This window comes from Homo sapiens, chromosome 7 (assembly GCF_000001405.40).
Source record: "Homo sapiens chromosome 7, GRCh38.p14 Primary Assembly".
In the NCBI taxonomy this organism is placed as follows: domain Eukaryota; kingdom Metazoa; phylum Chordata; class Mammalia; order Primates; family Hominidae; genus Homo; species Homo sapiens.
This window is the reverse complement of record NC_000007.14, coordinates 41,855,825-41,872,026: the sequence shown is the minus strand read 5'-3', so window position 1 is coordinate 41,872,026 and position 16,202 is coordinate 41,855,825. Positions and strand designations below refer to the sequence as shown.

General features: G+C 39.4%; 1 annotated feature.

Annotated features, from left to right (window-relative positions):
• Positions 1,353–1,402: an enhancer, noted in NCBI's record as "active region_25900". NCBI's record gives its function as "activates an Ori minimal core promoter by ATAC-STARR-seq in GM12878 lymphoblastoid cells {active_cell/tissue: GM12878}" and the evidence as "EXISTENCE:reporter gene assay evidence [ECO:0000049][PMID:35858748]".

Below are 16,202 nucleotides of genomic sequence, written 5' to 3'. Positions count from 1 at the left end.
CAGGGTCCTTCACTGTGAGCTGCGAGGAAGAAAAGAGAGAGCATGAAAGGTTCTACAGGACCTTTTATAGGTCAGCCTGAAAGCAGCATTCTTCATCCATTGGCGAGAACTTGTCACATGGGCTCCCTTAGATGCAAGAAACATGAAAAATGCCACCCTTCTTTGTATACATCTCTTTAGGACATTTTAATTCTGTCCCACTGCTCTATGTTGGCACCAGAACTAAATTTTCTCATCATAATACTTCATATTTTGCAGATCAATTTCTCCCTTCTTCATTCCCGCTCCAATAGTTTATTTGCTATCTTTGCCTATTTGTTCTCCCAGATTGATTTTATAATTCATTTGTCAAATTCAAGAAAAATATTCCATTTGTAGTTTATTTAAATTGCATTAAGTTTATAGATTTGGGGGATAAGATAGACTAGCTGATCTATATATTACCCCAATAGGTTAACTCTAATATTAAATAACTCCTTAATTCCTGGAATTAAATCTCTTAGATTATGTTGTATTATTCTTTTAATATACTGTTGAAATTGAGTGGATATAATGTGATTTAGACTTTTTACATGTAATTGACAAATGCATTTGGCTTCTAGTTTCAGTCTCTCTCTCTCTTCCCTTGACCTCTTTTATTTCATTGTCAGATTTTACTACTAGCTTAAGAAAATTAATTGAGAATTGACCCATCCTTTTCTATGCATTATAGGAACTCAGATGGCCTGAAAATTAAGTTCCTTTAAACCATCTGACACTGTTTTCCAACTTTTAAAATGTATTGCATAGTTTTTGGCTTATTTCTTTTTCTTCTTTCTGAATCAATTCTTTTAGTAATCATAGTCTTAAAAATAATTTCTTCAATTGATATTTTCCAAATTATTAGCAGAAAATTGATGACAGAATTATGCCAGGGTAGAGGGGTGGGAAATGGACTAGGAAGGGGGCACTTTTAAATTAAAAAAAAAGTTTTTATTTTGATTGTGGTGGTGTTTATGTGGTGTATATATTTGTCAGAACTCATTGAAATTTGCACTTGAAATCAATGCATTTTATTGTAAACAAACTATCAATAAAGTTGATTTATTTTAAAAAGCCTTTTTAATATTTGGTTATTTTCAATGTGTTAGTCACATGTAAAATATAGTTGTGTGTTTTAGCCTTTTGTGGTCACAGTGAGAAGGCTTTCTTCTTTCATTTGATAAGAAACAGCTGTGACTAATTAGCTTTTCTCAACCACCAACTATATAATGTATATATGCAATTGATATATAGTCAACTAGGGTGACCAACTATCCTGGTTTACCAGGGATGGAGGGATTTCCCAGGATGGAGGACTTTCAGTGTTAAAACCAGAAAGGTCTTAGGCAAATGAGGAAAGTCCCAGACAAGTCAGGATGAGTTGGTTACCCTAGGTATATAGCTGAACACACTTAGCATTTCTTGTAATATACAGTAAACGACATATTACATAGCAAGAGGAAGTAAAGAGACTTAGCATGAACATAGTCTCCACAGCAGATAGAATTTACACATTAATTTTTAAATGGTGTAAGAAAGTTTTGATAAATGATCTAATTCTGGTACTAGTTATAGACCTTGAGAACTAGGGTACCCACATTGCTAGTTTACCATGGTAGCTACCCATCATCTCTCCGTGTCCTGAGACTATGTGGGAACCTACACAATCTTCCTGGCTCTGGTCTGCTGTCATCAGAAACACCAAACACTTAAAAAAAGTGCCAAGTCACTGGACCTACGGGGTTAGTTCATTTTGAAAACGGAACTGGACTTTCTACCAAGAACCAGAAAAATGTTGAAAACATAAAACAACAAGAATCTGTGGTGTGTTTGTAAAAACCAAGCCTCTGACCCTGATCTAAACCAGACTGTTCTCCTCCTGGCTTCCTCCCTTTTTCCTTTAATTAAGCTAACTGGAAAGGCAAGGCTTTCATCAGACCAAGACGACAATCTTCCTACCCTAATCTCTAGGACAAAACAGAGAATCTGGTCTGGAATTGAATTTGAAATATTAAAGAAAAATGCCTACCAGCTTAATGTTGTCACTGTCGTATGTTTATTTTTCTTCCTTTTATGTCTGATGTCAAGGAGAAAATAATGTCATCTGCTGGAAATTTCAGCATGTTTGCATTTTGAGATAATTAAAATTAATGGTGGAGAGCCAAACTAGCACCAAACAATCCCTGTGATTCCCATGTGCGTAAAAACATTTTGTAATGACTTTCACTTAATCTGTGAGCCTGGCAGGCTGCCCCAAACCACCTAGATCCAAACTAGATTCAAGCAGCAAAGTTTGCTTTTCAAAAATAAAAATGTATATTCTGGAAGTTAGAAATTAGGGCATCGGTAAAATAGTTAGGCTCTGCAGATTGCTTTATCCATTTGGGGTTTTCCTCCAACTATGTTTCTTCCTTTTCCAGCTTGGATGGCAGGACTTCTAGTGCACATGGCAATAATGTTGCACCTCACAGCTATTGGAAAGGCAAGTCTTCCATAGGAAGGAGCAGAAATGAATTTTCCTTAAGGATCTGTAAACCCAGGAAACTCAGCTCTGAGAGATCATCTGTGAGATTCATTCAGTGAGGAAACTCAGACACAATGGTCATTTTTTGTAGGGCAGGTAGTAGTTGACAGGATGTTTGACTTTTCAATAGACTGCTTTACCAACTGTGTAACAGTCAATGTGATTCATCCATAAGAATCTCTTGCTTAATATCTTTTAGTAACCTCTCATCATCCACAGGGTAAACCCCAAACTCCTAACCCCTTGGCATGAAGCCCAAGGCTTTTCTTAAACTGGAGCATTTTTAGTTTCTAGCTTCATTTTCCTACTGACCATCCCATATATCACAGGCCATAGCTATCAAACACCTTGTAGTTTTCTGAACATATGGTGCTGTTCTGGGTACATACTCTTCCCACTATTTAGGAAACTCCTAAATCACTTCATGAATAATCTAGCACTTTACATCTGGTAGATGCTCAGTATATTTGCTGAATAAATAAATTTTAGAGCTTAACTCAAAAAACGCTTTTTCTGACTCCCTACATGAAATAAGGACTCCATTTTCTGTCTTTCCAAAATTCCTTGGATGTGCTTTAGCATGGTGGTTCACAACCAGGTGAGATTTTGCCTCCCAGGAATATCTGACAATGTCTAGAGACATTTTTGGTTGTCACACTGAGAGGGTGCTACTGGCATTTAGTGGCTAGTGGCCAGGGGTGCTGCTAACCATCTTACAATGCACAGCATAGCCTCCACAGAAAGAAATATCCAGCCCCAAATATTAATAGTTCCAAGATTGAGAAACTCTGTTAGCAGAACTCATCTTTTTAGAATAGTCATCTTGGGGGACATCTCTCTCCTTTGTTAGACAGTAAACACCTTGATGTCAGGGTCTATATCTTAATTATCTTTCCATTCCCACCTTTTAGCATAATGGCTGACATGTGGAAGATGCTCAATGAGTGTTGGATTAAAGAAAAAATTAATGATACACCATACAAGTGCTACATAGTGATAATTCTCTAAGAGATTATGAAATATAAAGATAGGGCTAGTTAACACATGTGACAATCTGAATTATAAATTCAAAGAATTTCTCAGTTTCAAGGAAATGGTATCTTTTCACTTTTTCCACTCCAAAGGGATTTCTTTCCAATGGTTCCTCACTTTGCCAGCAGTACCATGTTGAGAGGTACCTTCTGCCTTGGGAGAAGTAGCTTCTACATCACTGCACTTTTTTCAGCCTTAAAAATCACACTAAAGGTTGACATTCTATTTTCATGCCAACTCTCAAAAGCATGGTCTCATTGTAATTGGTGTCAGCTACAGCATTTCAGAATGGCCCATAAATAGTCCCTATTTGGGAGCTTTTGGAACTGCTATTTTGATACTTCCTTTATGTGTATTCGCTTGGATTCCAGCCATTTGTCAGGGAAACCATTTGAAAAGGCAATTTGAAAGCCCACCCACATGATCCCAGCACCTCTTTCTTCTTGCTGATGGTATTAGACTAAAATTGGTCTGATTTTGACTTTACCCACCCCTCTGACTAAGTAACTAGATTATGTTTAGAGTAAGAACTCAAAGAAAAATGATCTAACAGAGGAGTTTGTGTTTCACAGGATCCTTAGCAAGAACCTCCTCTTTTCGTTGCAATTCCCTCATAAAATTGTATTTTGCTTGGAAACACTGCAAGCAAATTATGGTCAGAGCTGATGTTTGTCATAATGAAAATGTGAGGGGTATGATTTTCATTTAAGGGTTGTACTTTCAGAAGTGTCCAGGACATTTAGGAAGAACCACCCTGCCTTGCTAAACATTTGAGGTGGGATTATTCTTACCAACCAAATAAAAGCATCCACAATTTTGTTTAGATTCCCATGAGAATTTCCACAGGGGTAAAATTTTTCCGTCTTTCTCTGAGAGAATTTTGCCCAATGGTCTTCTTGAAATGTGAATTATTACATTGAAAATTACACATTTGACTTAATAACATAATTTACAAAGCTTAATGAATATGTTTCACAATAGCACTTTGCTTCATTAAAAAAATTAACAAACACACTTTGGGAGGCCAAGGCAGGCAGATCACAAGGTCAGGAGATCAGGACCATCCTGGCTACCATGGTGAAATGCTGTCTCTACTAAAAATACAAAAAATTAGCTGGATGTGGTGGCACATGCCTGTAATCCCAGCTACTTGGGAGGCTGAGGCAGGAGAATCGCTTGAACCTGGGAGGTGGATGTTGCAGTGAGCTGAGATCATGCCACTGCACTCCAGCCTGAGTGTCAGAGAGAGACTCCATCTCAAAAACAAAAAACAAAACAGCAACAAAAAATTAACAAACAATTTGCTGTGGTTTGAATGTTTATCTCCTCTAAAACTTATATTGAGATTTAATTGATATGGGGTTTTTAAGAAGTGAGTAGGTCATAAGGGCTCTGTCCTCGTGAATGGATTAAAGACATTATCAGAGAAGTGGGTTAGTTATTATAAAATTGAGTTTGTTATAAAAGTGAGTTTGGCCGTATTTCCTCTCTCTGTCTTGAGTGCTGGCTTCTGCCTTTCACCCTTCTGCCACAAAATGACCCTCACGAGGTACTCATGCCATGCTATTGGACTTTCCAGCCTCAAGAACCATGAGAAATAAATTTCTTTATGAATTACCCAATGTGTGGTATTCTGTTATAGCAGCAAAATTAACTAAGGTATAAAATTGGTACCATTAGGTGGGGTTGTTGTTATAACAAATACCTGAAAATGTGGAAGCAGGTTTGGAATTGAGTAATAGATAGAAGCTAAAAGAGTCTGGAGGAACAGGCTAGAAAAAACTTGTTTTGCTGTAAGTGGAAAGTTAAAGATGATTCTGGCGAGGCTCTGAAGAAGCGAATACTAGGGAAAATCAGAATTTTCTTAGAGATTACTTAAGGGTTGTGACCAAAATGTTGATAAAAATATGAACAGTAAAGGTGGTTCTGAAGAGGTCTCAAGTGTAACTGAAGAAGAAGGTATTGGAAACTACAGCCAAAACAATCTCTGTTATAAAACAGCAAAGAGATTGGATGAACTATATCCATGTCTGATGACTTTATGGAAGATGGAGTTTAAGAGTGGCAAACTAGGATATATGATAGAAGAACTATCTAACCAGCAAAGCCTTTAGGCTGCTGCCTGGCTACTTTTAACCACTTATAATAAGATGCTAGAGGAAATGAATAATGTAGAGGCATAATTTATAGTTGAAGGGGAAGTAGAAAAGAAAAATTTGAAAAATTTGCAGCCTGGCCATGTAAAGAACAAAAAAGTATTCAAGGGTGTGTTCCACACAATCATTTGCTAAACAGATACCCAAGAACAGAAGGAGGCAGCGTGTTATTCATCATAACCATTGGAGAAAGACTGTGAAGGTATTTCAGAATTCTTTGAGGCTGCCCCTCCCATTCCAGGGTCAGAGCTCTAAGAAGGCAGAGGTTTTGGGAGACAGGTTCAGGGTGCCCTCCACGCATTTACTGCCCAGAAGTGCCTCAAGTCTTTGCTTTCTGTATCCCAGTGTAGTGCTCCTTGGCTGCCCCAGATAGTGGCAGGAAGCAGTCAAATGTCTAGGCAGATAGGGTCAGTTCCCTGGTGAAACCCAACCTTCAAGCTGAAGACAGTTTAAAGCCTGAAAACCAAGCCTGAAAACCAAGCTGTGGATTGGATAAATCCACAGACTGGATTGAGAACCTCTCTTCCTATTTGGTATGCTTTCCTCTGATTGATCCCCACCCTTCACCTGTGTTACATATACCTACCCTTCCCTAATTGGTTTTTGCACTGTCATGTCCATCTTTGAGGAGTGCCTTTTTTTAGCCCTTTTTCCATACTCACTAACCAATCAGCACACACTTCCTCATTCTGAGCCCATAAAAGCCTGGTACTCAGCCATACTTGGGGACTACCTGCCTTCAGGCTGGGGGGACTACCCAACTCCAGGAAAGGTGCTGCCGTCTTTGGGTTTCCTCTCCACAGAGAGCTGTCACTCAATAAAACTATCCACCCTGCTTGCCCTCTGGTTGTCAGCATAACCTCATTCTTCTTGGATGTGGGACAAGAACTCGGGATCCTCTGAACATGGGTGTGAGAAAGGCTATAACACTGTAGCCCTCTGCCCTCCCCCGGGTGGCCACTCCAAGCGACAGGAAGTAGTGGTGGGGCTGGGCATGCCCAGGAGCCACGGGCCTGAGTGAAGTGATGGGACTGAAAGAGCTGTTAACACGTCCCTGTCCACTGAGCTGTGGATGGGGGAATAACATGCCCTATGGGGCTCTGGGATCACTGATATCTATGAATTTTTTGGGCGCCACCACATTCCCCTCATTCAGATGCCAGCACTCAAAGCAGAAGCAGGTGATGGCATGCCCAGCTCAGCCTCATGCCTGGCCCATGCCGGGCCTCACCAGACCATGCAAATCCAGGCCGAAGCATAAGTCAAGAGCAGCCTGCTGGGCCCAGTGGGTGGGCTACCTCCTGCAGCAAACCTGGAGCCTAGTGAGGCCCTGGGCAGAGATGTCGCTAGCTGCAGAGGTCTTCACCTGGTGAAGCAGCACCAAAAAAATCCTGCATCACTGTCATTCCAGAAAATGCAAGTGGTAAGCCTTGGTGGCACCCATGTGGTGCTAATTCTGTAGGGACACAGAATACAAGAGCTGTGGGGGCATGGCTTTCCCTAGCTAGGTTTCAAAGAATGTTGCAAATAGCTTAGGTATCTAGGCCAAAACTTTCCACAGGCACAGAGTAAAGCCATCACAGAGAGTTTCCACTAAGGCAGTGCCTAGTGGAGCCATAGACGCAGCACCACCCCTGAGGCCACAGAACTGTAGAGCTGCCAGCATGCAATGCCACCCTGGGAGAGATAAAGGCACAAGACTCCAATTCTAGAAAGCTGAAGTGTGAGCTGAGCCCAGCAAAGCCATGGGAACAGGGCTGCCCAAGATCTTGGGGGCCCAGTGTATTCACGATTTGGAACATGCAGTCAGTGAAGATTATTCTCCAGCCTTAAGACTTAATGTTGTTTTCTCTGTTGGGTTTTGGACTTCCTTGGGATCATTTACTCCTTTTCTCTCGCCTATTTCTTTTATTTTTGGAATGGGAATGTCTATCCTATGCCTATACCACCATTTTATTTTGGAAGCATATAACTTGTTTTGATTTCATAGGTTCACAACTGGAGGAAATTTGCCTTAGGGTAAATCATGTCTTCAGTCTCACCCATATTGGATTTAGAGGAAACTTTGGACTTTGAACTTTTGAGTTAGTGATGAAACAAGTTAAGATTTTGGAGGCTATTGGGATGGAATGAATGTATCTTGTATGTGGGAAGAACATGAGTTTTGGAAGGCCAACGGTGGAATGCTATGGTTTGAATGTTTGTTGTCTCCAAAACTCATATTGAGATTTAACTGATGTGGAGATTTTTAAGAGGTGATGAAGTAATGAAGGATCTGCCCTCATAAATGGATTGATGCCATTATTTCAGGAGTGGGTTAGTTATCATGAGACCAGGTTTGTTATAAAAGTGAGTTCAGCCTGATTCTCTCTCTCTGCCTTGCATGCTGGCTTCTGCCTTTCAGCCTTCCACCATGGTATGACCCTTGCCAGTTGCTAGTGCCATTTTCTTGGACTTTCCAGCCTCCAGAACCATGAGAAATGCATTTCTTTTCTTTATAAATTACCCAGTCTGTGGTATTCTGTTATAGCAGCAGAAAACAGACTAAGACGCAATTATTACATTGTGCTACAGTTTGCAAACAATAGAAGATGATTCAAAGAAGCATAATACTTGAAATTTATATTATAGCCAAGGAGCTTTGATAGGGACCAGAATGTATAGATGCAAAAGACTTACAAAGGGAGCATGACTGCACAATTGGCAATGTTATTTAAATGGTAGTAAAATAAAGAGTTCAAAAAATGAGGACAATGTATGTGTGGATGAAACTTCTACAAGAAGCTTTATCAAAGATATAGAATAGATAAATTTACTTTCATATCCTTTTCTGGACTCCCATGGTGTTTGTTTTGTTTTGTTTTCTATTCTGGAACTCTCAGAACAGTCATATATTGAATTTGATTATTGTGTGTCTTCTTGATTCTCTGACATCATCAGCTTCAGGAGAACAGAAGCTAGGAATATCCATCTGTGTATCTCCAAACAAATAGTGCAGTGTCAGCTACAGAGAAAATTTCTACAGAGATTAGTTGGGGAGAAAGTGGCAATTGCTCATGGTGTCACTTTCTTATGGACACTGGGCAAAAGTGCCCACTATAATGATATAAAAGTAAAACCAGGCCGAGCACAGTGGCTCACACCTGTAATTCCAGCACTTGGGGAGGCCGAGGTGGGTGGATCATTTTAGGTCAGGAGTTTGAGACCAGCCTGACCAATATGGTGAACCCCCCGTCTCTACTAAAATACAAGAAAAAATTAGCAGTGTGTGGTGGTGCACCCCTGTAGTCCCAGCTACTCCGAGGCTGAGAAAGGAGAATCACTCGAACTCGGGAGGCGGAGGTTGCAGTGAGTAGAGATCATGCCACTGCACTGCAGCCTGGGTGACAGAGGGAGACTCCATCTCAAAATAAATAAATAAAATAAAAATAAAAGGAAAATAAGACACCAAAGAATTTAATGTATTGGATAGTGTCAACAGATAAGGAACAATCAGTTGTAGATCCACACATGTGACTCAACATCATCTGAATTTTTTTGCACTATACCAAAATCCAATTGGTTTTGTCCCCTTCTAGAATTATAAGGGATAAGAATTTGACCTGGGTGCCCACTTAAAATCATTATTTAGTTTTATTCTCCCATCCACATTCTTAAAATGACTAAATTCAAAAGAATTTAAAAGCCGCATTAAAAACTAAATCAAAATCTGCAAGTCAATAGCTGCATCTCTTTCTTCATGGCCTAATTCACAACCTCTTTTGAGTCTGGAATTTACTCCAGGGCAATTCTGCAAAGATTCTGTACTCAATGGTAGTTTGATATCATTATTCATACTCATGAATTGCATTGAATTTACACATAAATTGTACTTGTCTAATTTTCTAATTATTGAGAAGAGGTAATCTGGTGGCATCTTAATCTAGGAAAAACATCTCAAACCCTTTTGCACACGTTTTACATTTGGCATAACCTAAAACACATTTCCCCACAAAACTTTTTTCCTTAACTCTTAAGCCCCTGAGTATTTCAATGGAAACACAATACTTTTTATCTGGATTCATTTACACTCTCATTTACTCATCAGCATGGTGTTTTGTAAGAGATATTTAATATTCTCCAAGAGCCCTTTTTTCTCTTGCACATTTCAAAGTTTTTCCTGTAGGAAACACTACGTTCCAAGCCATAATTTGAGACTGAATCCAGAAAACAGGAGTTGGGGGAAGCCATAAATTCCAAATGAGTTTCAAGTGGCACTGATTTTAACTGCCCATTATACATATAATGTGGTTACTGAAATGAGAACTTAGTGCACAGAGTGAAGAAGACCTTTTACATTTGGTGGCATTAACTTTGCACTAGTGCAGATGCTTAGGAAAGAGGAACACTTATCTTCCCTCTCACTGTGTTGACTGAGGCCAGCTTATTTTTCAGGAAACAGGTGTCACAACAGACAAATTCTCTGTGGGAGTAATCAACTTTCCACAGAGTGACTTTCTCCTACTGGAAGGCACGGGCCAGAGCCATGAGTGAGCTGCCTGTCACAGTGGCGGAGGGGTGCTCCCACTCAGGAGGCACTAGGCAATACCGTAGCAGCCTAAGCCTTCCTGCAACTCATTCAGGATGAGTGAATTTCTTTTCATTGCAAGTATTGAAAACCAGCTTCAGTGAGCTATTTTTTAAATAATTTTTTTGGAAGGATACCAGAGCCTTCCTTAGAATTCAAAGAAAAATGGAAAATCCAGCTTCTTAGGACAGACGGCCAAGGGGACAGTGTCAAGGAGGCTGGGCAGGCACTCACACAATGTCTGACAGTACTAACCAGTGCATACTAATAATTCACCAACTGACCACCCTCCCAACACTTTCCTTACTACCTAGCTCCTGGCCTGCTCTTTATATTGTTCTTCTCTTCAAGAAGGAGTTTGTGGCCACCCTATTTTCTTTGGTTTTAAAAATTACCTTAATTCCTGTAATTGGTTATTTGTCTGTAGAGAGTTGACCATATTATTATTACTTACAGATTTTACATTAAAAACTTACTCTTACATAATTGTTCATGGTGGTTATGGTGTCTTGTGAGACCCCAGGGATTTTTTAAATTATCAGTTTCTATAACTGACTCATTCTGGTCATGAAAGATGGGTCTTTGTGTACTACAGTATGAGTCCAAATATTCCAACCTGAATGCTTAGAATTGTTGGAGCTGTGTGTGTGTGTGTGTGTGACAAGCACATCCCAACACCTGAGAAACCTGACTCAAAACAGATAAGATAGTTTCTCTCTTTTAAATACGTATTTGTTTATTTACAGACAGGGTCTCACTCTGTCACCTAGGATGGACTGCAGTGGTGGGATCATAGGTCATTGCAGCCTTGGACTCCTGGGCTCAAACGATCTACCCAACTCCCAACTCAGCCTCCCTAGTAGCTAGGACTACATGCACATGCCACTATGCCTGTTTTTATTTTTTTATTTTTATCTTATTTATTTATTTTTTGTAGAGATTGGGTCTCATTATGTTGCCCAGGCCGGCTTCTTTTAAATAATTTAATTTCGAAACAAAAAACACTTTTAAAAGTAATTGTCTGGTCAGTACATATCCCCAAATACATGCATGTGAAACTAACATAATTATTACATAATATATAAAGTCACAAATTTACCTTTTAAAAAATTAATGGGATATTTTCAAAAATTATGGATGGAAAGTCAGTCTATTTTGAACTATTTAAATCCATGCATTTTAAATCTGGTAAATTTCTGCTGGAATTCCTAGGTGGTCAAATGATGCTGAAGGCAAGGTAAAACTTACTCTTTGCAACCCAGACCTTGTAAAAATCTTATCCTACTTCTAAGAAGCAGATCTATTCAAGAACTGCAAATAAAATGCAGCCTTATTAAAGGCAGATCCTTCAGCAATGCTATTTATTGGCCTGCTCGCCAACATGAATCCAAAGTGCTCATTTTCAGGAGTCATTATGTCCACATTCTTAAAGTTGAAAAGTCCTTGTAGAGAGGAAAGTCACTAGTGTGTTCTTTCTCTTTTCTCTGATTTTACTGAGTCAAAAGAAAAACCTCTAAACAGAGCTTGCTTTAATCATCTGCCAAACACATGGGTCCAAGGTTTTCTTCCATGGGGAGGAGGTCTCACAGCCAGCCTGAGGGAATAACATTACCCACAAGGAACAAACAATACACTTCAGCAAGTGCCTTCTTCTCAGGTATACACAGGCTCAAAAATTTTAACATCTAGAAAGACAATATTTGAGAAACAGAAGCATCAACAGTAAAGAAATGTGCAACTGGTAGTGGGCATTCAGGAATATAATATCTCATCTATTCTCAATATGGTTCCACACTTTCCCACAAATTAACATGGGTCAGAAAGAAATCAGGTTGTGGTCAAATAAGAATTTGAATTTAAAGTGAATTAAAATGTATTTCTTACCAATTATGGCTTTTTGCATAGAAGTGTTAAAAAGGTAATGCAGTTTGAAAATGCTTACTATCATAAAACAATAAAGTGAAGGGGTCTTTAGAGATACATCAGCACTGCACCTGGGTTTAACAGTTAAGGGATCGAGAGAACTGAGTTTCCCAAATGGCATGATTGTTATGTGGCAGATTTCAGGCTAGAGTTGGATTTTATAATTTCCAGTGGTTTTTTCCAGCTTACTTGGAATTAAAGTGTGAATTCCGATTTGAGGATTTATAAAAGCCAATGGGCGATTCCACCATTGATGCTGTCTGTGTACTCTTTGTGTATTGAGATTTCATGGAGGTCATGAAGAAGTGAAAGAGAATTTCTTCCCTAAATAATGTGTGAACTAAATCACAATAACATGATCCATCACCCGCAGAAAGTGCGACTCTAGATAATGCTTTCCATTAAATGGTATGAATAAATTTCATTAGTGTTTTATATGTACTTCTATTTGAATACAAAGAATAGTTAAATATGTGTACAACTAACCTTGGAAAAAGGAAGTCATTTTCTCAGGCTCAGTTTCCTTAGCTGTATTATTGGGAAAATAATTGCTACTTGTGATAAGGAAGTTTAATGAGATAACGTGCACGGCATCTAGAACTGTGCCAGACACCTAGTATGTACTTCACGAATGTTGATTTCCTTGAGGAATATTAAAATCCTTCTAACTTTTGTAACTTCAGGTCCATTAGAATGAGATAGGACATAAATTCACTTGTACACAAATAGCCTAGAAATAATTTTGAGGACAGTGGTTGAGAATAGGCATTCAGTTCTTACTTTTCTTTGTCCTTCTCACATAACCACACAAATTCAGATCTCCAGCTCGTTATGTGCCAGCCTTTTATGAGGCTGGCTCTTGGCTTCATTGGATAAAAACATTCACCCTGTGTTCTTCAGTTCTTCCTTCAAACATCCACTGCCCTGGGTTGAATTGTATCTCCCCAAATTCATGTCCACCAGCAACTTGTAAACGTGATCTTATTTGGAAATAGGGTCTTTGCAGAAGTCATCAAGTTAAGATGAGGTCATATTCGATTCACTTGGGCCCTAAATTCCATATGATTCTTGTCTTCCTAAGAAGAGAGAATAGAGATACAGAAGGCACAGGGGGAAGACAGCTATGGGAAGACAAAGACAGATATTTGGATTGATGCTGCCACAAGCTATGAAGTGTCAAGGATTGGTGGCAACCACCAGAAGAGGCAAGGAAGGATTCTCTTCTAGAAGTTCCAGAGAGAGCATGGCCCTACTCACTCCTGTATGTCAGACTTCCAGGCTTCAGAACTGTTGTTTTAGGCTACGCCTACATTTTGTGATGATGTATTACAGTAACCCCTGCATACAAATACACCTACTCAGAGGAAGGTCACAGAGTTTGTCAATGCCTATATAGCCCATCCTCTGCACCATACTAGTTAGACAGAAATTCCCTTAGTAACCTTCATTCCAGCCTAAATATAGCATCTGGATTTCTGTAATCTACACCATCCCTGGTATTTTCTTTAGAGAAAGAATGTTGAAAAGTGAAGTCACCTCCAGCATTATTTCCAAGGGCCCAGGCTTATCCTCTCCTCTTGAACGTCACCACACAGGCTCTCTCTGGGCTCAAACAAGTTCCTGGTTCTAATGAAGCAGATAACTGCAAAATCCAGAAGACCCTGGAGAAATATCATTAGTGAGGAATCCATGGCAACTGGGAGTTTCAGGCAGGACAATGGTTATGGTTAATTGACCTTGTGGATATTAAAATGGGTTTTAGGATTTGGGACTTCCTTATTTGAACTTTGCCACTGACCCCATCCTACAGTGCATGTGCATAAGACATGCTGTGAGAAGTGGTTTCTATTCACTGGAGTGCATTTTACCCCCACAAGATTTTTCAGTTAATGTTGGACTAAGCATGGATGTTTGGACTTAGGTAAGTGTGACATATTTGGCTTCATTTGTAGTGTTAACTTTGGAATGCAAAGGGTAGTATATCAAAATATAAAATAAGCCTCTTCAAGGTGTTTTTGTGGATTCTTTCATACTGCAAAAGTAAAACGATTTGCCTTCTGGAGAATTGAACTAAATTCTAATCTAGTCTTTAAGACTAGAATGCTAAAAACGAAAATATGAAGGAAATTAATACCCCTTATTATTACATTGATTCATAAAAACGTTGTTACTGACAATTGATTGGGACTTGAGGCCTTCTTCCAGAAAAAAAAAAGGACTTGACTGTCAGGCCTATATTAGAGATAATGCCACGTATTTGTACTATTAAAAATTGTTTCAATGAAAAAAAAAGAAAAAATAAATTAAAAAAACCAAGCCTCTTCAGAATTTACCGAAAGTAAAAGGGGTTTTCACAGATAAATACATAAATATTAATCAGTATATTTCATTGGGCTTTTCCATTCCAAATTTCACTCCACTGATAGACTGTTGCAATAATCTTCAAATGGAGTCTCTGTCTTTCCTTATCCAAACTGTTTTTTCAACAAAAAAAGCTGTGTGTAGCTCTGAGCTATAATGGAAAATTCAAAATTGTAGAAAACAAGACTTTGATGTTTGAAAACTCATATTTCTTTAAAGGACAAACATTCATATGCACAAACACACACACAGACAAACCCACACAAATTTAGGATAACATGTAAAAGGACTGTAGGTATGAAGAAAAATGATCAATTAATCAATTAATTTTTCATGACAGGGTTAGATCAGTCTTCAAGGACAAATGAGGAGATATTTGGGCTGGTCTTAGAAAATGATCAGGAGAGAGAGAGAGACAGAGAGAGAGAGAGAGAGAGAGAGAGAGAAACTAGGGGTCTTAAACTCAAGTGCTATTTTGCAAGCACTGTTTCCAGACCAGATGAATCTGTCTGTAGCATGACTCTCTCCATGTCACTTGCCCTGTCACTTTCAGCCCTAGCTCCTCACTCATTGCCTCTACGGTGAAGTTTTGACATCTTAGCTAGAATTTCAGGCCTTCCATAATTATATTTCAACTTCATTTATATGAGTTTCCTCTTCCATCCTCTGCTCCACTGCACAGTATTTCCCAGGACGTTGCCTCCATGGCCGCAGGTTTTCCCAGTCCTCCTTCTTCCACCTTTCTCATCCCCACTGCCACTGCCAAAATTTCAAAGCCCAGGTTGGCATCACCTCCTTCAGAAAGTCTCCTCCTTTTTTTTTCTTTCAGCTAGAGGTATTCTTCATGTTTCCAAATCCCCAAAGCACTTCATTTATACATCTGTCATGAGGTGTGATGGATTGCACTATATTTCCAAATATTTGCTTCTCTCCCCTTGTGCCAATTCCGGAAGCTCCTCTCTGGTGCCCCACTGATATCAGACATGGCCAGTGACCTCCTGTGGCTGCGAAATGGAATGTGAGAAGAAGTGATGTGGGCCACTTGTGTGCAGGAGCTTTCTGTGCTGCTCCATGCGGTGCTGCTGCCTTGAGGACAACGTGTCTTAGAAAGGGCTGTTTCTTCTGTCTGAGTCCAGAAATGATGGCAACAGGGAGTTCACCCATGATGGACTATTACTGCAGAAGAATTGTTGAAACTCACTGATAACTTGTGGTTGTGTTATCAAAGCATAGTCTATTGTAAAAGGATGTATACAGCAGGTCTCATACTCTACCTTAAATGATCAACTTTTGCATATGTGTCTTTTCCCCCAACTAGGATATTAACTTCCTATAGAATCTATGTGGGATTCATCATTGAATTTATCACTCCCATCACAGGGTCTGGCACTCAGTAGCTGCTTACCAAATACTTATTGACTCATATAATAAGTGAGTGTGTGGTTTCAGGAAGTGTGTGTGGGCATGCAGGGGTATGAGCATGCAAGGTGGGGGCAGGCAGGGATGAAGGGTGAACCACTCATTTTCTAGCCTTAGCTAGGTCCGACTCTTTTTTCTTAATGGTTCTCTACTCTGCTGGGGTACATTATGAATTAGCTAGTTGGAGATTTATTTTTAA